The sequence below is a fragment of the Homo sapiens genome, chromosome 17 (assembly GCF_000001405.40).
Source record: "Homo sapiens chromosome 17, GRCh38.p14 Primary Assembly".
In the NCBI taxonomy this organism is placed as follows: domain Eukaryota; kingdom Metazoa; phylum Chordata; class Mammalia; order Primates; family Hominidae; genus Homo; species Homo sapiens.
The window spans coordinates 77,147,660-77,172,311 of NC_000017.11; the positions used below are offsets into that span (position 1 = coordinate 77,147,660).

At 44.1% G+C, this 24,652-nt stretch overlaps 1 protein-coding gene and 1 pseudogene across 6 annotated transcripts in view, besides 1 other annotated feature; one reads left to right on the forward strand and one right to left on the reverse strand.

Moving 5' to 3' along the window:
- Positions 1-24,652, forward strand: part of SEC14L1 (SEC14 like lipid binding 1) — a 128,417-nt gene that overhangs the window by 58,975 nt on the left and 44,790 nt on the right. The gene's annotated exons all lie outside the window — the stretch shown is intronic.
- On the reverse strand, positions 4,902-5,015 carry RNU4-47P (RNA, U4 small nuclear 47, pseudogene; annotated as a pseudogene).
- Positions 15,696-16,197: an enhancer, noted in NCBI's record as "NANOG-H3K27ac-H3K4me1 hESC enhancer chr17:75159437-75159938 (GRCh37/hg19 assembly coordinates)". NCBI's record gives its function as "activates a minimal SCP1, AML or CMV promoter by ChIP-STARR-seq in primed H9 embryonic stem cells {active_cell/tissue: H9 hESC(primed)}" and the evidence as "EXISTENCE:reporter gene assay evidence [ECO:0000049][PMID:30033119]".

A 24,652-nucleotide genomic window follows, 5' to 3' on the forward strand; every position in this document is an offset into this window, starting at 1 on the left:
ACCCAGGGATGTGTACCTGAAACATTTTATGAAAGAGAAATCAAAACTTCTTGGCCACACACAAACGAAAGCCTCACACCTGACAAGGAAGGCGCACCAGGGAACCTTCTGGGGGGATGGTTGCAGATGTCCTGTGTTTTGACAAAGGTGTGGGGGACTCATTTTTTAAATTGAGTTATAATTTACATACAATGAAGTGGTCACATGTCAGGTGTACAGTTTGATCAGTTTTAACCAAAGGGCTGCTCTTCCTGGCTTGCGGGGAGGAGAAATTAATCAGTGAAGGACACTGATTGATTGTGCCTTAAAGGGTTTAAGATCTCACGGGAGCATAGTGATATGATCCCACAGATTAGGAACTTAGAATGGGATGTATAATTCTAGGGTGCTTGAGTTGAAGTGTTTCTTTTTGAAATTTCTAAGATAAAGCACAAACTTTAAAAGTTAAACATTGTCAAGTGCATCTCCCCCTCCCCCTGCATGTTAATGGTTCCTTAATAAAGGCTTCAAAGGGAAAATGAAGGAGGCGGGAGGCCACCTAGTGTAGGAGGGCAGGGTGGGAGAGGTCAAGGTCAGGAGCCCTTAAGGAGAGTTGTGGGAGAGAGGGAAGAACATGAGAGGCCACCTTCTGAACCCGATTTTTGTGGTGACAGCCGCAGGCGAGATAGTGGCTTGGACTCTGGTCTTTCTTCTGCTGAGGACAGCTGTCCTCATTGTGACCAGTGGGAACACACGATAGAAGAGGCTCCATTAGCTCCTGTGCATCCCAGGAGTTGCCACCCTGTCCAGTGCCGTTTCTGTCTGGGCTTATTTCCATTACACAGCAGATGTGGTCACCTCATTCTTTGCTCTCTCCTTTCCTCGCCCTCATCCCAGTTTCACTGTGCCCTAGGAGTGCTGGCTTTCTCCAGGAACCCCTTCAGTGTCTCTGTCCCTTCAGCAGACACACCCTTTAGACTGTGCCTTCAGGAACCAAGGCACCTGGTTCTGTCCCTGTCTGTCCCAGCACTGCCATCGTTGCAGCGTAAGCCCCTCCCTTTGCAGGGAAAGACCAGGGGTCCCTTGTTCCTTTGCGCACTCACATCTTTCATCCCTTAGGTCACTTTGTGCTCCCCTGCCACACACTTTCCATTGTGTGTGTCCTGTGTTGAAGGCTTTCCTGTTATCCGTCCTCGCACGTCTCAGCTCCTGTGCTTTTTTCGGCAAGGCCATTTGTGGCTGTGTTCTGCCTGGTCCGTTTAACCTTATTTCATAATTATGCACACTTCCCAGCTTGAACTTGAACATTTGTTTCTGTCTTGTTCCCGTTGGCCCGGACACACAGTGCTGTTTCCTGCCCCCTCTTTTCTTTTTTCTTTTCAGACTTCTTTGCCTCAGATGTTTGCCATTCCCCATCTGTCTCTCCAGATCTTACCCATCTTGTCCTTCCACACGTCCCCGATGCCTCTGAAGATGCCATTCATGTTTCTCTCCCTTCCCCGGGACACATTCTTAATGTTGGAGTTGGTGTTAGGTACTTTCACTTGCAATGGGAGTTTCTTTATTCACAAAGCCTCTTGAGTGTTGCTCTCATACTATTTTGTGTGTCCTTCCAGGGCAGTGACCTTGACAGTTATTTGTCTTGTTCTCCCAAGCGCGGGTGCTAAGGACATAGTCTGTGGGCATGCAGATGTGTGTGACTTGTTCACACGAACTGTGAGGATGAGGACTTGGTGAATGGTGGAAATTCAGATCCAAACTGTATCTCCAGGGCATGATGGCGCCTGTCTGTAGTGCAGTTACTTGAGAACTTGGGAGGGTGAGTTGGGAGGATTTCTTGAGGTTCCAGGAGTTCGAGACCAACTTGGGCAACATAGCAAGATCCTGTCTCTATAAAAAAATAAAATTAAAATAAATGGTCATGGTGGTGTGTGCCTATAGTCCTAGCTTCTCAGGAGGCTGAAGAGAGAGGATCCTTTGAGCCCAGGAGTTCAAGGCTGCAGTGAGCTATGATCACACCACTGTACTCCAGCCTGGGTTACAGAGCAAGACCCTGTTTCAAAAATAAATAAGGAAATAAAATGCATCTCTAATTCTGTTTTCAGACAAGAGATTTATGTTTTCTACATGGAACAGAAGTAACATGCTATGGTCTTTCAGTTAACCAGTGGGTCACCTGGGAGCAAAGCCCTTTTGTGATAAAGTTGGCTGATTTGTGTTTTTTTTTTTTTTTTTTAATTTTCGTAAACGTTGCAAAACCTTGTTGGTAAACACTCTCCTGGCAGTTTAAGTGGTGTGCTTTTCCAGGTTGAATAACCAAAAAACCTGCTTACCAGTGTATAGGTTTTGTTTTTGTTTTTGTTTTTAAATACTGCTCCTTGCGGAGCAGGGCTGACCCACAGGCAGTGCTCTCAGAGTAACCACAGTTGTCGATTAAATGGCCCGAGTACAAAAGAATTTGTTTCGCTCTCCTGCTCCTCTTGCTTTATTTTGTTTTGTACTCTGGCATTTGGGGTTTTTTCCCCCTTTCCTCTCAGGTGTCTCATGTCTTCCCATTAAGACCGGAGGAAGGAAGAGAAAGAGATTTGCTTTGAGGCCAGGTACAAACCTGTGCCTGCCACAGACCAGCTTTGTAACCTGCTAGGCCAGTGACTAGTGTAAGACTGCTGTGAGGAGGTGCTGGAGTGAAACAGACAGCAGGGGTGAGGGTAGGCAAGGGCGACCTGGTGATGCCACAGTCTCCCCCTCTCCCTTCCAGATACCCTGCCCCTTCTCACCTCCAAATACCAGGGGAACTGAATCAGTTTATAAGTGAGTAAATGACTATGAATGTGCATCTCTGTTAGATCAAATAGGCATTTATATTGAAGCTCTTTCATCCATTCCAATTTCATATACAAAACAGGGAGACGTGAGGGATCCCAGGATGGACTCGCGACTCATATATCTTACTTCAGGGTGAGGAGACACTGCTCTTCCTTAATCAGGGCCTCCGTGGAGTGCGAAATGCCCGAGGGAGAACACTTTCTGACGGGCAGCTGTGCCCATGTTGGGCAGCTGTGCCCATGTCGTTCCTCTGGTTGGTTGGGCAGGGGGCACAGGTCCTGCTTTGCCCTTTCTCCATCTTTGTGGCAGCTAGCTGCGTTCAGAAACCATCCATCCGCCCACCCGTACCTTGCCTGAATATTCTCTGAGCTGCCTGTCCCCTTTTCTCTAACTTTTTCTTCCTCTGACTGAGGTCCTGTGCACGTCAGATTTTCAGCATTGTTTTAGTTACAGGAAATATTTTCAGTCCATCGTTCATCTTCTCAGAGCATGTCTTCTTTCTCTCATCCTGGATTTCATCCTTGGGCCTTTTTGTATTTCTGATTCTGGTTTTTTTAGTTTCTGATGGTTAGGTGTGATATTGAAATACATCTTTTCATTCATCAAGGTATTCTTAGATCTTCCAGCAGCCTAATGTGCAGTAGAATTTGTTTTTACCCAAACGAATAAGCAATCTACTTTTTGGGGTAGGTGACTTAAAACCCAACTTTGTTCAAGTCTGGAAGTGGAGGGAAATGTTCCATTTTCTCCTATGACATATAAAAGGACCTGGTCAATCAGTGGGAGACTGTGCTGCCCTCGTTTGTAAAGTTGTGAATGCCATCGCGTGAGTCCTATTGCATTTCATCAAAGCTGGGGTGGTGTAATTAGTCAGATTTAGTTGGTTTTGAAAATGGACAATTAGAGTGAGCTTTCATCACGTGCTCCTTTGTACAGAGCCAGACCTTCTCCCTTGTGTTCCGTCTCAGCATTATGCATTCCAGTTGGTTTTTCCCCATGCTTTTCCTGAGCTGTATCCAAGTGTCTTTAATGCGCTAGAGTGAAGGCAGTTGTGGTGCAGTAGGAAAATATTTCAAGCAGAAATAAGATGTATCAGATTCAGCTTCTCGCCTCTCTGATTTACCTGGTTTTTATAAAAACAAACAAACCCCAAAACCTTGTTTTATGGAAAATTTCAAGCATACACAGGTAGAGAGAATCATATAATAAATGCCATTTACCCATCACCCAGTTTCAATGTTACCAGCATCTTGCCGGGCCTGACACAGTGGCTTATGCCCGTAATCCCAGCACTTTGGGAGGCCAAGTGGGGAGGATGGCTTGAGGCCAGGAGTTTGAGACCAGCCTGGGCAACGTGGTAAGACCCTGTCTCTAAAAAACAAAACAAACTCTTGCCAATATTTTTATCAGTTGTACCCACTTTTTTCTTTCCTGGTGTATTAAAGCAGATTTCAGGTATCTTGTTAATTTGTTGACAAATACTTCAGTGTACATCTCTAACCTTTTGCTTATATTATTTTTATTTTTTTGAGATAGGGTTTTGCTTTGTCACCTAGGCTGGAGTGTAGTGGCACGATTATAGCTCACTGCAGCCTCGAACTCCTGGGCTCAAGGAGCCCTGCCTCAGCCTGCTGAGTAGCTGGGACTACAGGCTCACACCACCATGCCAGCTAATTTTTCTTTTTTTAAATTTGAAATTATATTCCTGTTGCTTAAGATTACTAAGGCAGACTTTTTTTTAAACCAAAATATTCAGTCTCCATAGAGACTGTCAGAAATGGTCAGTGCTGGCTGGGCACGGTGGCTCATGCCTGTAATCCCAGCCCTTTGGGAGGCTGAGGCGGGTGGATCATTTGAGGTCAGGAGTTTGAGACCAGCCTAGCCAACATGGTGAAACCTTGTTTCTACTAAAAATACAAAAATCAGCCGGGCGTGGTGGCAGGCAGCTGTAATCCCAGCTACTTAGGAGGCTGAGGCAGGAGAATCGCTTGAACCCAGGAGGCAGAGGTTGTAGAGAGCCGAGGTCATGCCACTGCACTCCAGCCTGGGTGACAGAGCGAGACTCCGTCTCAAAAAAAAAAAAAAAAAAATGGAAATGGCCGGTGCCAGCTCTATTGCAAGTTATCTTGTGGTATTGGGAAGTTTTCAATGAGCAATAATCACGTCTCGGGTAAACCTCACTGACTATGATGGGGCCACTGTGCAGAGAGCCTTTCTCCTTTTTAAACACAGCCGCCATGTTGTTATCCCACCTAACAAAAGTACTAGTGATGCCTGATGATCATCTAATACACAGTTCACGTTCATGTTTTCTCACTTGTCTAAAAAATGTCTTTCATAAGTTGCTTGGATCCTGCTTCAAATAAAGCCATTTGTATTTGGTTATTATGTTTCTTGGGTCTCCTTTATTCTCTAACATTCTCCCTTTCCTTTTGTTTCCTTTCATGCCATTGATTTGTTAGAGAAACTGGGTCATTTGTCCTGTTCAGTTACCTTAACCTTTTGCTGATTTAATTGTTCCTTACAGCAAATAGGCTGTAAGGAGAAGGTGTGGACCTAAATTCAATCAATGCAGCCACCCTTTAGCAGTTCTCTTTATTTATTTATTATTATTATTTTTTTGAGGCAGAGTTTCACTCGTCACCCAGGCTGGAGTGCAGTGGCGCAATCTTGGCTCACTGCAACCTCCGCCTCCCGGGTTCCAGCGATTCTCCTGCCTCAGCCTCTGAGTAGCCGGGACTACAGGCATGCGCCACCACGCCCGGCTAATTTTTGTATTTTTAGTACAGATGGGGTTTCACCACGTTGGCCAGGCTGGTCTCAAACTCCTGACCTCAAGTGATCCACCCTCCTTGGCCTCCCAAAGTGCTGGGATTACAGGCGTGAACCACTGAGCCTGGCTAGCAGTTCTGTTTAAACATTTGCTGGCAGAGATGGAAACTAATAGTTAAAACCAGCTGCTCCCCTTTTCTTCCTAGGATTGTTCTATATAATTTTGAGTTGCAAATAAGATGCAAAATATTTTTTTCCCAAATTAAACTAGGCCATTCTATTTATGGTTACTCCTTATTTATTTATTTTTGTAGTTACTTTTTAACACTGAATGGGTCCTCATTTTGTACTGAAAGCAGGTGAGAGGGATTAATTTATTGGCAGCGTTTCTATGTAGTGCATGCAGCAGGCACTTGGCAGGAGTCTGGCCTGGGGCTGAGGAGGTGGGTGGTGTTTGTGGTCTGAGGTGTCCAGTTGTGCTGGGCAGTCAGTCCTTGCCCTCTTCTGTTGTCTCTTTTATTAGAGCTCTGGATAGGGCTGTTGGGCTGCCTGGGGAAGCTTCCCCAGAGAAGTTCACTGTAGAGAGGATTTTGGTTGGCAGATGTTATAATTGATCCATCTCTCTTGATTTTTGACCTGTACGCTAGTGAAGCAGACACTTTTATATAGTTCTAGTGGAATTATTTTGCATGTTGTAACAAGAAGCATATATTGCGTTGTAATTTTCTTGCATGGTACAAGTTGATGTAAGAGGACAGCAGCCCTCTGTATCCTTGTGTTCTGCACCCACAGATACAACCAACCGTGGATCAGAAATGTTCAGGAAAAACAACAAAAATAATACAACAATAAACTGTAATACAAATAAAACGCATGCAACAACTATTTACATAGCATTTACATTGTATTTGGTATTATAAGTAATGTAGAGAGAATTTAAAGTGTACGGGAGGGCTGGGTGTGGTGGCTCACATCTGTAATCCCAGTGCTTTGGGAGGCCAAGGCGGGAGAATCACTTGAGGCCAGTAGTTTGAGACTAGCCTGGGCAACTTAGCGAGACTCTGTCTCTATGATAAACTGAAAAAAAATTAGCTGGGTGTGGTGGCGCATGCCCGTAGTCTCAGCTACTCAGGAGACTTGAGACAGGATTGTTTGAGCCTAGGAGTTTGAGGCTGCAGTGCCACTCTGGCCTGTGTGAACAGAGCGAGGCCCTGTATCTAAAAGATGTGTGTCTGTGTATATGAGAGGATGTGTGTAGGTTAAATATAAAATGTAAATGCCACTCCATTTTTATATCAGGGACTGGGGCATCCACAGGTTTTGGGATTGGAGGGACATCCTGGAACCAGTCCCCTCCAGATACCGAGGGAGGACTCTACTGGCCCCTTCTGGTTTTTTTTGTTTTTTTTTGGTTTTTTTTTAAGAAAAGTCTGTCTCTATAATTATGTATCAATATATGAAATAATTGCTATGTGTATCTTTATATGTACTGGATCCATTTTCCATTCAGACATCTGCCCTGTTTTTCAGTGATCTGTACTGCCATGTGTATCAGTAGAATATCCGAGGTACTGATAAGCGTCCAGTTTGTAAATGTCTTGTGTATTTCAGTAGATGGCTGCGTCCTTACTTCTTTTCCTTTTAGGGGTCCGGCCTTCCCCTTCTGATCTGGACTTTCTTTATTCCACTTTCTTGCCTTATTAAGGTGCGGATGGATTGTTTGTTCCTTTTCCTCTGATTTTGCTGTTTGGGGACCCCCAGTTGTATATTTTGCATTTTCTGGCAATAATAGGTGTTTTAATGAGCAGTTAATGCTATTTTAGGCATAGCTATCTGGCTCTCTTACTGGGCAGCACTTCCTGGGCAGCCCCATTTAAACCTGTGGCTTCACCTGTCACTTTATAAACTAAAGATCTCAAAGCTTTGTCTTCACCCGAGATGCCCCCCAGGAGCTTCCAAACTCCAAGCCAGGTGTCTGGCAGACATCTCCATTTCACTGTCCCAGGCAGATTTAATGCCTCTGAAACAGAGTTCATCTCCTCTTGCCTGCGCAAAAAACACACACCCCAACAGAAACAAACACACACCCACACCCACACACCCACCCCAGTAAAAACCAAACCAATAAAACACCACTCAGAAGCTCTCCCTTTCCCCTGAGCTGCTGCTTTAGATGTGTGGCCCCGCAGGTACCTTACCCTCAGAGCAGAAATCCAGGCATCCCTGGCAGCCTTCCTTCCTCACCCCTCAGTCTTGCTGGTGCCCAGATGGGAGCTGGCAGAGATGTCTCCTGGATGGGCGCTCACTTTGCTCTTCTGTAGCCTTGGTGGCTTAGCCCCAGACCACTCCTCCTTACAACAGCCTCTGGACCCTGAGTCTACCCCTCACTCTTCTGCTCGTCCTTGGGGCTGCTGCCAGAGAGATCGGTACATTGTAAACTTGACTGTGCTGCCTGCAAGTTTCAAATGATGAAGTGCCTGCACCTCATCTTTATTTATTTATTTATTTAATTTTTTTGAGACAGAATCTCGCTCTGTTGCCCAGGCTAGAATGCAGTGGTGCCATCTCGGCTCACTGCAGCCTCCGCCTCTCTCCTGCCTCAGCCTCAGCTGGGATTACAGGCGTGAGCCACTTCGCCCAGTCCACGTACCTCATCTTTAAGATGAGGTTCCCAGCTTAAGCTTGGCTCCCAGAATCCTTTGTCATTGGCCTTCTGCCTGTCCTGCAGCCTCCTCTCCATGGCGAGGCCTCCACACCCACTGCACAGTCTAATTATGTCGAATTTCTTGCTGTTTCCTAGGTATACCATTTTTTGTCATGATCTTGGTGCCTTGACCACATACTTGCCTGGAATACCTTTCCTGCTTTCTCACCTGGCTGACTCTAGCTGGCTGCATGCAGTTGCTCCTGGTGGAGGTTCCTCTCTGTGCACTGGCAGCCGCTGTAGGGTCCTGACACTCCACTGGTCTCTCTGCCTCTCTCTGTCACCTTCCCTGCAACTGCCAGTGTTCCCAGGGTGAGAATCAAATCCTCATGCCCTCAAAAATAGATTTCTCGGCCAGGCACGGTGGCTCACACTTGTAATCCCAGCACTTTGGGAAGCTGAGGCAGGCGGATCACTTGAGGTCAGGAGTTTGAGACCAGCCTGGCCAACATAGTGAAACCCCATCTCTATTAAAAATACAAAAATTAGCTGGGCGTGGTGGCGTACATCTGTAATCCTAGCTACTGGGGAGGCTGAGGCACGAGAATTGCTTGAACCCAGGAGGCTGAGGTTGCAGTGAGCTGGGATCACACCACTGCACTCCAGACTGGGCAGCAGAGCGAGACTCCGTCTTAAAAAAAAAAAAAAAAGATGTCTATGAAGAGTAGAGGGTCTTGCAGTGTATGCTTTCGTTTCTTGCATCACTTCTTCTCTGTCAGTGAAATTTTGTTTTTTGTTTTTTTTTTACTCTAATCCCATGACATAATGAAAATTTTGACAAAAGGTTACATTGGAACATAGTCGTTTGGTCGGCTGTATTTACTATTTATGGTTCAAAAGAATCTGATGCAAATCATGTTTTGTGAGTAAAATAGTTCAGTGAACTGAAGCTTATAATCCCTCTAGTTGCCTGAAAAGCGTGTCCTGGTTTATGTGTCACTTAGTGTTTTGAGTGGCTTTTCTCCTGTAGTGATGAATACAAAGTATATACAAAATCCTATTTCTTTGGTTCTCCTACAGAACATAAATTTATTTTAAGTAAAATTCTTGACTCTGGTGGAATGGTAATCTGACTTTAAGATTTCTCCAAATTTAAAACCCAAGAGTTATTACATAATTCTTGTTTTCTTAATAAATAAGTTATTCCATAGCATGAGGTAGGCCTAATCACAAAATGTGTGTGTTTCTTTTCTTTTTCCTAGTTTAATGCTTGTGTATGTATTAAAAATCAAGGCCCAGAACTAAAAGCTACAGGGTACATATTTTAAGAAGTAAATTGATTTAAGTGGTCATTGGTATGTTGCAGGATTTATGGCATTAATATTTAGAAAGCTCTTCTCCAAACACGTATTATCTTCATTTGAATTTTCTCACACAAAGTTGGTTTATAATGTAAATTCGAAGAGTTCCAAATCCTAATTCTTCACTGAGTCAGAATTTCTGGAGGTGAGTCCCGCAGTCTGTGGCTTCACAAGGCTTCCAGGTGATTCTTAACGCCTGCTCAAGCTGGAGAACCCCTGGTGTGGATTTGCATCATTTGAATTTGTAGTACATGGGATAGGAAGAAAGGAGGGTGGTTTCTATTATAACTTTTTTTTTTTTTTTGAGATGGGGCCTCGCTGCGTTGCCCAGGCTGGAGTGCAGTGGCATGATCTCGGCTCACTGCAGCCTCCACCTCCCAGGTTCAAGCGATTCTTCTGCCTCAGCCTCCTGAGTAGCTGGGATTACAGGCATGCGCCACCATCCCCGGCTAATTTTTGTATTTTTAGTAGAGACGGGGTTTCACCATGTTGGTCAGGCTGGTCCCAAACTCCTGACCTCGTGATGCGTCTGCCTTGGCCTCCCAAAGTATTGGGATTACAGGCATGAGCCACCATGCCTGGCCATAACTTTTATTTAAAAGTTTTTCAAACGAATGGTTTTTTTCAACAGGCTGTATAAATAGGCTCTTATTACATCATGTTTTCATGTGACGGATTTAACATACACTAGAAGGAGACTGTTTGCTTTATGTACTTCTCCAAATTGCTGTTCTTGAGTTTATTTAGTGATGTCCACGTTATATTAACAAGCATGTGGGCTGGGCATGAGCCACCGTGCCTGGCCATAACTTCTATTTTTGTATTTTTAGTAGAGATGGGGTTTCACCATATTGGCCAGACTGGTCTCGAACTCCTGACCTCATGATCCACCCACCTTGGCCTTCCAAAGTGCTGGGATTACAGGCGTGAGCCATCGTGCCCGGCCTGTAACCACTTTTAAGTGCAGAGTTCAGTGGCACTAACTAAATTCACATCGTTGTGCAGCCACCACCACCATCCATCTCCAGAACTTTCTCATCTCCCCAAATCGAAGCTCTGTCCCCATGAAACACTCATTCCCCATTCTTCCTTTCCCCAGCCCCTGGCAGCCACCATTCTTTCTGTCCCTATAAATTTGACTACTCTCGGTACCTCTTATGGGTAGAATGACACTTGACCTTTTGCGTAACTTGGTAGTTACTTGACCTTTTGTGTAACTGGGTTTTTTCACTTAGCCTAATGTCTTCAAGGTTCACCCATGTTGTAGCTTTAGTTTTTGGGTAGTACTTGACCTTTTGTGTAACTGGGTTTTTTCACTTAGCCTAATGTCTTCAAGGTTCATCCATGTTGTAGCATGTGCAGAATTCCCTTCCTCTTCAGGGGTGAATTGTACTCAATTGTATATGCCACATTCTGAATTGAATTGTACTCAATTGTATCTGCCACATTCTGCTCATCCATTGACTTACCGATGGACGTTGGGTTGTTTCTACCTTTTGGCTGTTGTCTGTACTATACATTTTTAAAGTTTCAATTACATTTTATAGCTTTCTTTCCTTTTTTTTTTTTTTTTTTTTTTTTTTTTTTTTTGAGACAGTCTCACTCTGTTGCCTAGGCTGGAGTGCAGTGGCACGATCTCGACTCACTGCAACCTCCACCTCTGGGGCTCAAGCAATTCTCGTGCCTCCCAAGTAGCTGGGATTACAAATGTGCACCACCACGCCCGGCTAATTTTTGTAATTTTAATAAAAACAGGGTTTCACCATGTTGGCCAGGCTGGTCTAGGACGCCTGGCTTCGTGTGATCCACCCAACTGTAGTATTTTTTTTGTTTTGTTGTTTCTGAAATAAACTTTCACTCTGTCACCCAGGCTGGAGTGCAGGGGCACAATTTTGGCTCACTGCAGCCTCCACCTCCTGGGTCAAGCAATTCTCCTGCCTCAGCCTCCCAAGTAGCTGGGATTACAGGTGTGAGCCACCACCACCTGGCTAATTTTTGCATTTTTAGTAGAGATGGGGGTTCGCCCTCTTGGCCAGGCTGGTCTCGAACTTCTGACCTCAGGCGATGGGCCTGTCTGGGCCTCCCAAAGTGCTGGGGTTACAGGCATGAGCCACCACACCCGGCCTCTTTTCTTCTTCTTCTTTTTTTTTTTTTTTTGAGACAGAGTCTCGCTCTGTTGCCCAGGCTGGAGTGCAGTGGTGCGATCTCAGCTCACTGCAACCTCTGTCTCCCAGGTTCAAGCGATTCTTCTCTCTCAGCCTCCCAAGTAGCTGGGACTACAGGTGCCCACCACCAAGCCTAGCTAATTTTTGTATTTTTAGTAGGGATGGGGTTTCACCATATTGGCCACACTGGTCTCAAACTCCTGACCTCATGATCTGCCTGCCTCGGCCTCCCAAAGTGCTGGGATTACAGGTGTGAACCACCGCTCCCGGCCCTTGTCTTTTATATTTGATAGATTCCAGATCCAAAAGACAAGTTCCTTGAGGAATTCAACCACCACTATTTTATTCCATCTGTTGAAAATACAGCTTTAATTTACAGCTCATGATTGCCATTGTTGTTAATTTTTTAACAAAGAAAGAATAGCATGTAAAAGCTGGTGTGGAATGATGAGCTGAGTGGTGACCCACTTAAATAAAAGGGTGAACTCCTGTGCTAAGGGAATGGAGGTGGTAGAGAAGATAGAGAATTCTGTAGATGACCCTACCCCCTGTTAAGTGTTCAAGTCATAGTGTTACTCCTGATTTTCTTTTCTTTGTTCTTCAGAGTGTGATTTAAATTTTAAGTGCTTCAAGGTCTATGAAGTACAACCTGCACAGTAGATATTTAATAAACAGTGAGTGATCAGTATTTTCCTGATGGATTAAAGCACTCCTATTGGCAGCCTACTGACTCTGTGGAGTTATTATTCTGGTTCATGAAACCAGATAATATTTCCATAGCTCATTGCATTCCTTTATGTGGGCAAACACATGGCATCTTTAAAAGCTGACAGCTGCAGTTCCCTAGAACACCAAATGCTTTTCTGAAGTCCACAAATTTCTCTTTTACACTCTGGAAAGTAAAACCGTACTCTGCCAAGTCCAGGCGGATCTGAAGGGGAATATGCACACTGCTATTTTGTTGTTAGAGAGAGATTTGTACTCAGTTTGCTCTTTATTAGACCAAAAATTTTTCAGATTAGGAATGGTTTTTGAATATCATGCATGTTTTGGTTTCCTTTGGATGCTTTCAGCATCATGTGATTGCTTTAAACACATGAAAAGCAAAGAGAAATAAAACCTTTCGTAGCCCTGTAGACATTCTTGTTTGCCTAGGGCTTAAGTGATTGTGGCATGCAAAGTATTTGACATTCAAGATTTATTGACGGAGACCAGGTATCTTAAGTATAAAGATTTGTATTTAAAGATGTGTATACCTCCATTTTTTTCTAACTAGTGTCTTTATAATTCTCTAACAGGGATTGGTTGTCTTTGTACTTTTATTTTGATAATCGAAAAACTACATGGATGCGTTGAGATCATCTGTATAGCATGCTTACAGCTGAGCACTATCAGCACATGGTTAGCTTTTATTTTTTGTGGACAACAAATAATACTGTTTTAATGGCTGAAAGTAAATACAAAAAGAATAGGGATGAAATTACTATGTAAGTGATGTGTTTGAGCGAACTATAGACTGGGGTGCTTACTTTGCAGATGGGGAGCTGTACAAATAAAGATTTAAATAGAGTAAAACGATGGGAGTAGTGAGTCATCAGACAGCTTCTGTCCAGTTTGAAAGAAGCTGTGCCCCTCCTGTTCAGTTCCATATTCATTTTGAAGGGGAAATTGGTCTTCAACAAATTGTCATTTTCCCCATGAAATGTATGTTGTTTACATTTTATAATTGTATGAGCTTTTTTGTTTTAGAAACTAGTTTGTTTGCACCTATTTAAGTAACGTTATAATAAAAATAACTGGCCAGTCAAGGTGGCTCACGCCTATAATCCCAGTCCTTTGGGAGGCCAAGGCAGGCAGATAACTGGGGGTCAGGAGTTTGAGGCCAGTCTGGCCAACATGGTGAAACCCTGTCTGTACTAAAAATACAAAAATCAGCTGGGCATGGTGGCACCCACCTGTAATCCCAGCTCCTGGGGCGGCTGAGGCGAGAGAATCACTTGAGCCGCGGGGATGGGGGTGGGATGGAGGTTGCAGTGAGCTGAGATTGTGCCACTGCACTCCAGCCTGGGCAATAAAATGATACTCTATCTCAAAAAAAAAGTTAATTAAAAAATAAAAATAACTGGTCAATAGACTGAGTTCTGCAAGGGGGAAAAAGTAACTGGTCAACATTAAAGGTTCAAGGACACGTTTCTCTTTTAAAAGGAGGGTTTGTACATGACTCAGGCTTCATGAAGGATTTCTTTGCCATAGAGATTTTGCTTTACTTTCATGAATCCAAATCAGCTGGGTCCTTAAATTGGTTCTTTTTTTTTTTTTTTTTTTTTTTTAAACAACCAGAGGTTAAGGAAGGGAGGGGAATAAACATCCTTGTATTTTCCTGTTTGTGTTTAACATGAGTGCCTGGTTGGCTCAAGTACTATATTTTAATTTTTGTTTGTTTCCCTTCCCTCCCCTCCCCTCCCCTCCCTTCCTTCCTTCCTCTCTTTCTCTCTTTCTTTCTCTTCTTTTCTTCTTTCTTCTTCTTCTTTTTTTTTTTTTAAACAAACCCTTGTGTTGAGGGCTGACTTTCAATAGATCGCAGTGAGGGAGGTGCTCTGCTACATACAAATCCCCGACCCAGAATTCTGCAGGTCGTCTATGAATGGTTTAGAGCCAGGTTCCCCACGAACATGGGTGGCCCAACGGGCAAGGGGGCGACTGCCTTTCCCAGGACGAGGGGCTTTCTGCACCGGACCCCAGTCCTGGCGCTCGGCGGGGGAGGGACCGGCTCTCTGAGGCCATTGGAGGCCAACCGAGGCCCCACGGGCACTGCTGTATCCGTCTGCCTGGGTGGGATTCTGACTTAAAGGCGTTCAGTCATAATCCCACAGATGGTAGCTTCGCCCCATTGGCTCCTTATTGTGGCTCAAGTATTTTTAAATATGGGCAACCCTTCAGTGCAAGGAATCAAATTAGTACTGATTTGACAGCCATTTTAATTGAAGTTGATATTGACTGGTAAGGCTGAGATGAGAATGGAAAATAGGAATGACAGTGTCTTCAATTTCTTCTGGGTGTAATTTAGATCTGTGCAAAGTAACATGATGTATATTTTGACTGCATTATTACCACATGGTGGAAAGGTTAAAAAAATGTGTTGTGGACCAGGTGCGGTGGCTCACACCTGTAATCCCAGCACTTTGGGAGGCCGAGGCAGGTGGATCACCTGAGGTCGGGAGTTCGAGAGCAGCATGACCAACATGGAGAAACCCGTCTCTACTAAAAATACAAAATGAACTGGCGTGGTGGTACGTGCCTGTAATCGCAGCTACTCGGGAGGTTGAGGCAGGAGAATCGCTTGAACCGGGGAGGTGGAGGTGTCGGTGAGCCGAGATGGTACCATTGCACTCCAGCCAGGGCAACAAGAGCGAAACTCTGTCTCAAAAAAAAAAAATGTGTTGTGGATTCTCATAGTCATGTTTTCTTTTTCATGAAGGACATTTTGGAGTGCTTTGTAGGTGATGTTAAGATCCTCACCTAAAACTATATCATGTTTTTACCTTTAAAAGCTTAAAACACTTAAAGCTATTTAGTTTGAGAATATTGGCCACGTACCAGGGAGACAGGGGAGTTCGGTATGCCATCGGCCAATAGGACACAATTCTCCAGCAGCTTCTGCCTCCTGGACTCTTGTTACTTCCTGGAGGGGATTGACGTAGCTCCTGCCGCTGTGCTTGGTCTGGAGCTTGCAGTGGCAACTGAGCCCCTTGAGTTCTGCTCTCAGCGAGTATAGAGTCTGTGAAAATCGATGATACGAATTGGACTTACCCTGTCACACCCAACTAAACTGGAGTCGAGGGACCAGGGGAGAAGAAAAGCTGGGACACAGAGCGTCTGCCCCGGGATTATCTTGAAGGCCAGCTGCCAAAGTGACCTGCTGTAACTTTAAGACCAGTGTTAACTCCTTGCTGCTGAAATGAATTACTGTGACTCTAAGACTGGTTCAGTCAGAGCTTGCCAGCTCCCAAAAACTTCACTAGTACCAATGAGTTTTCAAAACAGTATGTCACCTTTCTTTCTTTTCTTTCTTTTTCTCCTCCTCTTCCCTCCTCTTTGGTTTTATACTTTAGCTATGAAGGCCATTTACCAGAGTCAAACTTGTTGTTAACAAGCAGAATTTTTAAGTTCATTCAGAGAGTCCCTCAGACTTTTCTGAGCCTGTTCACTTGCAGAGAGCAGACGCTGTCACCATGTTCTTCGTGTCATGCATTCACATGGATATTCAGTCTTCATATGCTGTCAAGTTTCTTTAAGATCAAAGGAGCGGCTCGCAGCGGGGCCACATAGATGATGACTTTTCTCTTTCTCATAAAACCCCCAGCCTTCCGTTTTTTCTTCGCACATACCGAAGAGCACCTGGTCTTTCTCTATGCCCCAAGTTGCAATTCTCTTTTCCCAAATGAAACTGTTTTAGGGATTCAGCTTTATATTTTTATTTGACCTTGACAAGCCCAGGGTGAAGATGATACTGCTTGGCCTGGAGAGGAGCCTGGGCTCCTGGGTGGCAGCCAGGGATCCTGCCACTGAACCGCAATTTGCAAAATACTTAAAGAACATATAACAGGTCTAAGAACAACATTTAGAGAGTGCTTGTGTGGCAATATCTTGTTTATTGCCCACACTTACTTTGTGGGTAGGCTCTTTCATCCCACTTTACAACTGAGGAAACAGGTTGAAATTGGTTACTAAGTGATTGCCCTGACCTGGCTGCCTCGCCTGCTGACAGCGGTGTGGGCTGACCCGGTACCGTGCCCCCGAGCAGGCAGAGCGCCTGTGCCCACCTGGAGGCCATCAGCCCACGGCGCTCAGGCACTTGGCTTTCATAATTCCCAACAGGGCCAGTTTGCAGTCTTTGCTTTAAAAGACCTCTCTGGGAGTCACTCTGAACCAATTCTGGTTTGAGGGAGGACTGCCCAATTTGGTCAATTAAACTCAATTTTTTGAAAAACCTCCCAATTTCCCCCCACCTCTTTTCCCTTTTGCTCTGTCTGGTGTGATCCGTCTCCCTGCTGGGCAGTAACCCTTTTTCCCAGCGCTCCCCCTTTGTTGGTGGCTTTCCTTCTGTTTGCTTGGACAGGAGGCCTTTGCTTCCAGGTTGTCCAGCTGGGATTCAAATCAAGGTCCATTGACACAAGAGCCCAGGCTCTAATTTGCTCTGCCATATGCCTCCCCGGTTTGTGTCTTAGTCCTAGAATGACAGTGCTGGAGGAGTGGAGGGAAAGGACACTTGGATAGCTGAGTTGCAGACATGATAATTGGGTGGGTGCGGGTGAGGGTGGTGGTGATGCGGAGTGGGAGGAAGTTGCTAGGAAAGCTGAGCTTAAAATAGCTGAAGGCCATAGATACTGGTACAGTGTGGAGTCTGGCAGATAATTGTGTGGCAGAGAAGGCTTTTGTCCTGAGAATAGTAGATGACCTCCCAGAACTGTGGGAACAACAGTCTCATGTTTACATTTATTCAGGCCACAATGGAGCTGAGCAATTCGCTTCCTGACATGAATTCTTTCTCTTCCAAGTAGATCGTGTTTCCTTATTCTGTGGAAAACGTTAATGCCATTAGAAGCCAGATTGAGGGCTACCTGTAACCGGAAACCTCTGCAGAGAACATCCTGTTACTCAGTACCCCTTTTTCTTCATTTATTTTATGAAAGTTCCCTTTCCACTTGACTGATATTTATCTTCAGGGCCATATTTTCTCCTTCTGTCAACCGAATATAGTATACGTAGCTAATCAATGAATTAGATAACTAAATCCATATATTTCCTCTTCTTCTGTGAACCCCGAATATCTGAGACAGGTCTTAGTTAATTTAGAAAGTTTATTTTGCCAGGATTGAGGACGTGCCTGTGACACAGCCTCAGGAGGTGCTGACAACATGTGCTCAAGGTGGTCAGGGCACAGCTTGGTTTTACTTATTGTAGGGAGACAGGAGACATCAGTCAGTATATGTAAGATGTACATTGGTGCTGTCCAGAAAGGCGGGACAACTCGAAGCAGGGAGGGGGTCTCCAGGTCGCAGGTGGGTGAGAGAGGCAGCCAGAAGCATTTTTCTCAGTGAGTAGAGGGGTGACTTTGAGTGGAATGGGAGGCAGATTTGCCTCCCAGTTTGACTTTTCCTTTTAGCTGAGTGATTTTGGGGCCCCAAGATTGATTTTCCTTTCACAATTTATATGATAAGGGGAGTGTTTTATTCCCAGTGCCTGAACTGAAGTATGATCATTTTTTTTGCCATTATCTTCCTTTGGCCTTTTCTTTTCTCTGTAGAAGGCAGGAGACCTAATATGCTCCTATTTATACCTAGTTCCTTTTTTTAGTCGGCTAATTATTTACTTAAAATAACTGGTTCCTAGCAAAGTCTCATGAGATTTACATCTTGTAATTTTAGGGTCATGAGTGAGATAATTATTTTAGTTTGGTGAACACATGGATTTTATTTGGTGCATTTCCAAAGTTTAGTAGAAAAGATAAATGTCAAATGAAAATGTTTAGTGTTTTAAACTGTTTGCATTCAGAAGGTCCCCCTCCTCATCTTGTGCATAGCTCAGCTGGTTCCTGGACTGTGGGCCTGACAGCGGCTTTACTTCATTGCCAATAGTGTCTTCCTCCTTGAGAGGTTCATGTGTTGCACAGAACAGTAGCCACACTTATTGAGTATTGTACTTATTCTTTGTTTTTGAGATGAGATCTTGCTATGTTGCCCAGGCTGCTGTCGAACTCCTGGGCTCAAGTGATCCTCCCACCTTGGCCTCTCAAATTGCTGGGATTACAGGCCTGAGCCATCATGCTTGGCCCCCTACTTATTCTGTGTCAGGGCCTGCCAAACATTTTATGTTTTCTTATTTAATCTTTCAACAATGCTGCAAGTTGAAGATGATGAAGAAATTGAAGCTTAATGAAATTAAATAGCCTCCCCAAGGACCACTTTTAATGGTGGAACTGGGATTTGAAGCCAGATCTGCCTCTTCTAAAGCCTGTGCTCTGAAATAGAATGGTAACTGGAGTGGGGCAGACCTGGGTTCATATCCTGGGTTCAAATTCTCTCAGCCTCTGTTTTCTCATTTTAAAATGGGAGAAACACTTATGTCATGGAAAGATGAGACCTATTAAGGGCCGGGTGCAGTGGCTTATGGCTGTAATCCCAGCACTTTGGGAGGCTGAGGCAGGTGGATCACTTGAGGTCAGGAGTTCAAGACCAGCCTTGCCAACATGGTAAACACCTGTCTCTACTAAAAATAAAAAATTAGCCAGGCTGGGTGGCGCACACCTGTAGTCCCAGCTACTTCAGAGGCTGAGGCAGGAGAATGGCTTGAACCTGGGAGGTGGAGGTTGCAGTGAGTGAAGATCGTGCCATTGCACTCCAGCCTGGGTGACAGAGCAAGACTCAGTCTCAAAAACAAAAAACAAGAAAAAAACAAAAATAAATAAAGATTGTACCTATTAAATGCAGTAATCTTTGGGAAGCTGATTAGGGTGCATGCGTACTAGGCTCTCCATATATACATGTTGGTTTGATCATCCCTCTGATGTGTTTCTCCCCAGATGAAAGCTCTTCATGGGTAGGACCCTTGTCTTGTGTTCATGTGTCCTCAGCCCTGTGCCTGTTGGAGAAGGGAGTGAATGTTGAATAAGTAATGTTAGAAATTTTTCTAGGTTCTTAAAAGAAGCTTGTTTGTCTTTCTGTTTTCTTTTCTTTTTCCTTTTTTTTTTTTTTTTTTTGAGACAGTTTCCCAGGCCAGAGGGCAGTGGTGTGATTACTGCAGTCTCCACCTCCCAATTCATTGTTGAAGCAATTCTCCTGCCTCAGCCACCTGAGTAGCTGGGATTACAAGCACGCAGTACTACACCCAGCTAATTTTTGTATTTTTAGCAGAGAAAGGGTTTTGCCATGTTGGCCAGGCTGGTCTCAAACTCTTGGCCTCAAGTGATCCACCCACCTTGGCCTCTCGAAATGCTAGAATTACAGACATGAGCCACTGCGCCTGGCCAGTTTTCTTATACCATGAGCACAATAGGTTTTTACCTTTGGCCAATGGGTTACTTGATTGCTTTTGTTTCTTTTTTTCATGTTTAATGGAGTTTATTTTTTAGAGCAATTACAGGTTTATAGAAAATTGAGCAGCTAGTACAGAGAATTACCATATACCTTCTCCTTCCACCTTACAAATTTCCCTATTATTAACATCTTGTGTGATACTGATGCAGGATTTTTTGCTTAGCTCAGCTAGGTCTGGGTTCTTGTCTCATGACCAGGAGGAAGTAGACACACGGACACTCAAAGAGTGAGCAAGGCGGGAAGTTTTATTGAGTGATGAAGCAGTTTTTAGTGGGGAGGGTACACAGGGTTACTCCCTCTACCCAAAGGCAAGAGAGTTCTTTGTGTTGGGAACAAGTAAGCGGTGCTGAAGAGAAAAACCAGTATTGAGACAAATTATTTCTCAGCAAGGCAATTTACTTCTGCAGAAAGGTGCTGCCTGTTACAACCGCAAGAGTACACCGAGCAAAGGAGGGAAGGGGTTTTTATCCCTAATGCAGTTCCTGTCCCTGTGTCCTTCCCCTGTTGGCTAGGGTTGGACCATACAATCTAAACTGATGCCAGTTGGCTAAGACTTAAACTTTTTCTAATAGGTAAATGCGTGATTTGTAAGAGAAGGAGGGGGTAGGAGTGGTCTGTCCATTACGGTACGGGGCATGTCGGGCCACAAGCGTGGGAGGGTTGTTCGGAGGCTAGAAACAAGGGAGTATAAGGAGGTTGGGCTTCTGAACAAAGAGCAAGAACGTTACACAGTTAAACCCTTTGAAGAGGAATTCATCATCTCTGGCAATTTCCCCCTTTGTCTTTTGATAATTCTTCCTCTTCACATTTTTTTAACATGATTTGGCTCTGCTGTTCTTCTCGATCACCTAGGAACAAGAGCCTATTTGAGTATAGAGGAGGAGAGGTAGGGGAGGTTTTGTGAGAGCTGTTTCTATAAGTCCTTGCATTAACCCATGGATACAGGGTATGATGCAGCATCCTACATATGAGTACACCTGTAACAATTGCAAGAGAGGTTAATATTGAAGTCATAATCCCTTTCCATTCACCAAACCACTTTTCCATGAGACTTGTGATGGGGTCATTTATTCTGGAATTTTTGGCTAACTTATCTGATATGGAGGTAAGGCCTTGTAAAGCCTTCATAATTGTTCCATTGGGAGCTGTGTTGTTAGGGCTGAAAGTACAGCATTGGACTCTGGTCTTGACACAGACTTTGCCTTTTTTTGCTAACATTATGTTAAGGGCTCTTCTATTTTCCCAGGGCATTTGGCTGGTGGGCCTAATTGTTCAGCTATCCCTTTAATGGCATCGTCTGCATAATTGACAAACCGCTGTTGATTATAGTAAATGTAATTTATCCAGTCTACATTTTTGTTTATAGTTGACCACCAGAACAGTGCAGATTTGAATCTGAATCCTGCAGCTATTTGGTTTCGGGGTTTAAATTTATCTGGTACCTCTTGTGGGACCCCAGTAGCAGCTACATAAATGTGAGGGTCAAAAGACCCGTGAGGAGCATCTTTTTTTTTTTTTTTTTTTTTTTTTTTTTTGTGATCCTCTGTCCTGTTATGTTGACGGAATGCCAGAGTGAAAGGGCCAGTTGGACTAGGGCTCACGTGCCGCTCCAGTTTCTCAGCAGAGTGCCTAATAGTTTACCGCAGTACCACCATACATTTGCTTGAGAATAGACAAAAGGCAGCTTGACTGGTAAGCTCTTGGGAAGGCTTGGTTTGACTACACCCTGTTAGGTCTCCGAGGGACGTTAATCTTTCCCCTTGCCATGAGAGAAGACACGAGGTAAAATTAAATCAGAAGCTGGAGGCCAGATGGCCCTCGGGGGCTGACCTGCGGGGTCTTTAACTTGGGGGAATAGCAATGAGAGAGTCTTGCATGCTCTCTCCCAGGCTGTGAGATTTTGAAAGAGACTTACCATGCAGCTTATGCCCGGTCAGTCAGAAGACCATCCAAGTGGGAAGGGGACTATCTGGGCCTCTGGCCTGCCTGCCGCACAAGCCTAACAGTCAATTTTGTTTAATGTGCGAGCAGAATATTTAATCCATTCCAGCCAGGCATTCGCATCTTGGTATCCTGTTCTAAGCACTAAAGTTTGTTTTAAATCTTTAACCTTTACAGTGCCTACTATAGTTTCGTCATGGGGTATGGAAAGAACAGCTGTTTGATTGGAAGAGGGTTTAGAAGGAGAAGAAGGTGAAGGGGGTTGAGGAGTAATGAAGTGCATTTCAAAGGATCCTTTGGGGTCCTTTCCAGGAATATTAGCTCCTGGGCCATAGAAGTGACCTAGGGTAGGCTTGGTGTCGGTAGAGGTGGGGACATTAATAGAGATTTGCACAGGGTTACACTGTTGGAGTTGACAGGTGGAGGGGGTTGTACCTTTGGTAAAGTGAATGTAAGGCTTTAGATAGGTACAACCTATTGAGGAGGTCCAGCCTTGACACTTGGTGGTATAGATTACATCTCCCTAAGTATCACAGAACTACCAGTTATAGGATCGGCCTCAGTCCATGCAAAAGTCAGTTCTGTAGGCAGTTTTATTTATCCTGGAAGGGCAAAGGTACTTTTCTGAAGAGGCCAGCTGTCTTTGGCTTTGGAGATCCCCACAGGGCATAACAAGACAAGCATTAAAAGTAATGGTTTGAGGGGAGCTAGATCTGGTTATATTAATAATAAGATGTGTGGTAGCTGGGGAAAGGAAGCTAAGAAGGAAGAGACAGATTAAACTTTCTTTTTTAACGTGACTCTGGTTGGGGTGGGTCCTGGAACGGCAGTCCATGACTCTGGAGAGGATGGTGCTCTTTTGACTTGGGTGTGATGAGTGCAACCGTTTTTGGTGGTCCTGACTGCCGTTTCAGTTTTTAGAAGTACTAAATAAGGTTCTTCCCAAGTAGGTTTGAGCTTTTCTTCTTTCCAACTTCTGACGAGGACGTAATCTCTGGGCTGGTGATGATGGCCTGCAAATTCAAGGGGTGCAGTTTGTGCTAAAAGGCCTTGAGTCCTAAGAGAGGAAAGGGTGGAAGACAGACCTGATACATAGTTTTTGAGAAATTCATCCTTTGTTTCAAAAGTGGGAATGTCAGTATTAGAGTTTAAGTAAGGCAGTCCATAAAGCATTTCATAAGGAGAGAGGCCAGTGTCCTTTTGCGGGGCTGTTTGGACTCTGAACAGGGCAATAGGAAGGCATTTTGTCCGAGGTAGCTGGGTTTTTAAAATTAGTTGGGTTAAATGATTTTTTAAAGTTTGGTTCATTCTTTCTACTTTTCCTGATGAGGGTGGATGCCTTGGTGTATGATATTCCCATTTTATTCCTAGTGCTTGAGTGAGCCCTTTAATAACGAGGGCAGTGAATTGGGTTCTATTGTCTGAATCAGTGTTTTCTATAATTCCAAACCTAGGTATAATTTGTTTTAATAAGGTTTTAACTACATGTTTAGCTGTTGTGTTTGGGAAAGGGATGGCCTCTACCCAGTGGGTGAGATGATCTACTATTATTAATAAATAGTTAACATGGCCTACTGGGGGCATTTCAGTGTAATGAATTTGAATTTTTTGGAATGGCGTTAACCCTGAGTTTTTTCCCCCAAGGGCTTGCATCTTATTTGTTGATTTATTAGTTTTTTTTGCATATTATACAACTATCCACAATTTACCTAGCAAGGGTATAGATTTCTATACACCCATAAACTCCGAGAGCGGCATCACACATAGCCTGGGGACCCCAGTGAGTTCCTTGATGGAGTTGAGACAACATCCCTCTTATGAGAGGTTTAGGCAACATTTCCCTCTCATCTGGTAATATTCGTTTTTCTTCTGAGCTTTCTTTGGCTCCTATTTCATTTAACTTTTCTTGTTTGTTATGGGAAAAGACGGGGACTGTGGCTGGGGGAGGGAGACAAGGAGTTAAATGGAAAATGGGTTCCCGTTGGGGAAGAGGCAGCTTGCTTGGCTATTTGGTCAGCAAGATTATTCCCTCAGCTTCTAAAGGAAAGATTTCTTTGATACCTGGGACGTGAACAACAGCTATTTGTTCTGGCAACTATAGATTTTCTAATACTTGAATTATTATGTCCCTGTGGACTAAGTTACTGTTAATGAGGCCTTGCTCTGTTCAAATTTTTCCAAGGTGTGGACCACTCCAAAAGCATACTTGGAGTCTGTATAAATAGTTCCTTCCTGGTTTTGCAGAAATTTTAAGGCTTGATTTAATGCAAACAGCTCACATGTTTGCGCAGAGCAGGTGCAGACCCGTTATTAGGTAATCTTCCCGATTTTATTTCTGTGAGGATATCTCCGTTTACTACTGAGTACCCGTTATGCCTTTTTTCTTTTATTACTTGCCTCGATTTCCTTCTTTTGACCATACATCTGGATGGATGTATCCTTTATCTAGGGTAGTGAGCAAATTTAGGGAGGGGAGGAATTTTTCTTGGTTAACATAGAGGTCTGGGTTTAATTTTAGCATTAAATCTCTTCCTAAATAGGTTTGTTCCTGCCTCCGGGATTAACAGAAGTTTAATATTTACTGAGCGGTCCTTATATTTAATTTCTGTTTCTTCTAAGATTTTTGCTTTAAACCCCTCTTCTTTTACTCCCGAAATAAAAAGTTTTTCCTGTGAACAAGTTACACCAGGGGGAAGATAACAAACTGAGGAGCGAGCAGCTCCTGAATCAATGAAAAAGGTGATAAGCTCAGGTTTGGGTCCCACCTCTAAATTTATCAAGGGCTCTTGGTGGGACTTGAGGTAAAAAAAAGAGTGGAGCCCTTGACCGCCGTATTCTTCCTCCAAGGTCATGAGTAGAATGACTTCT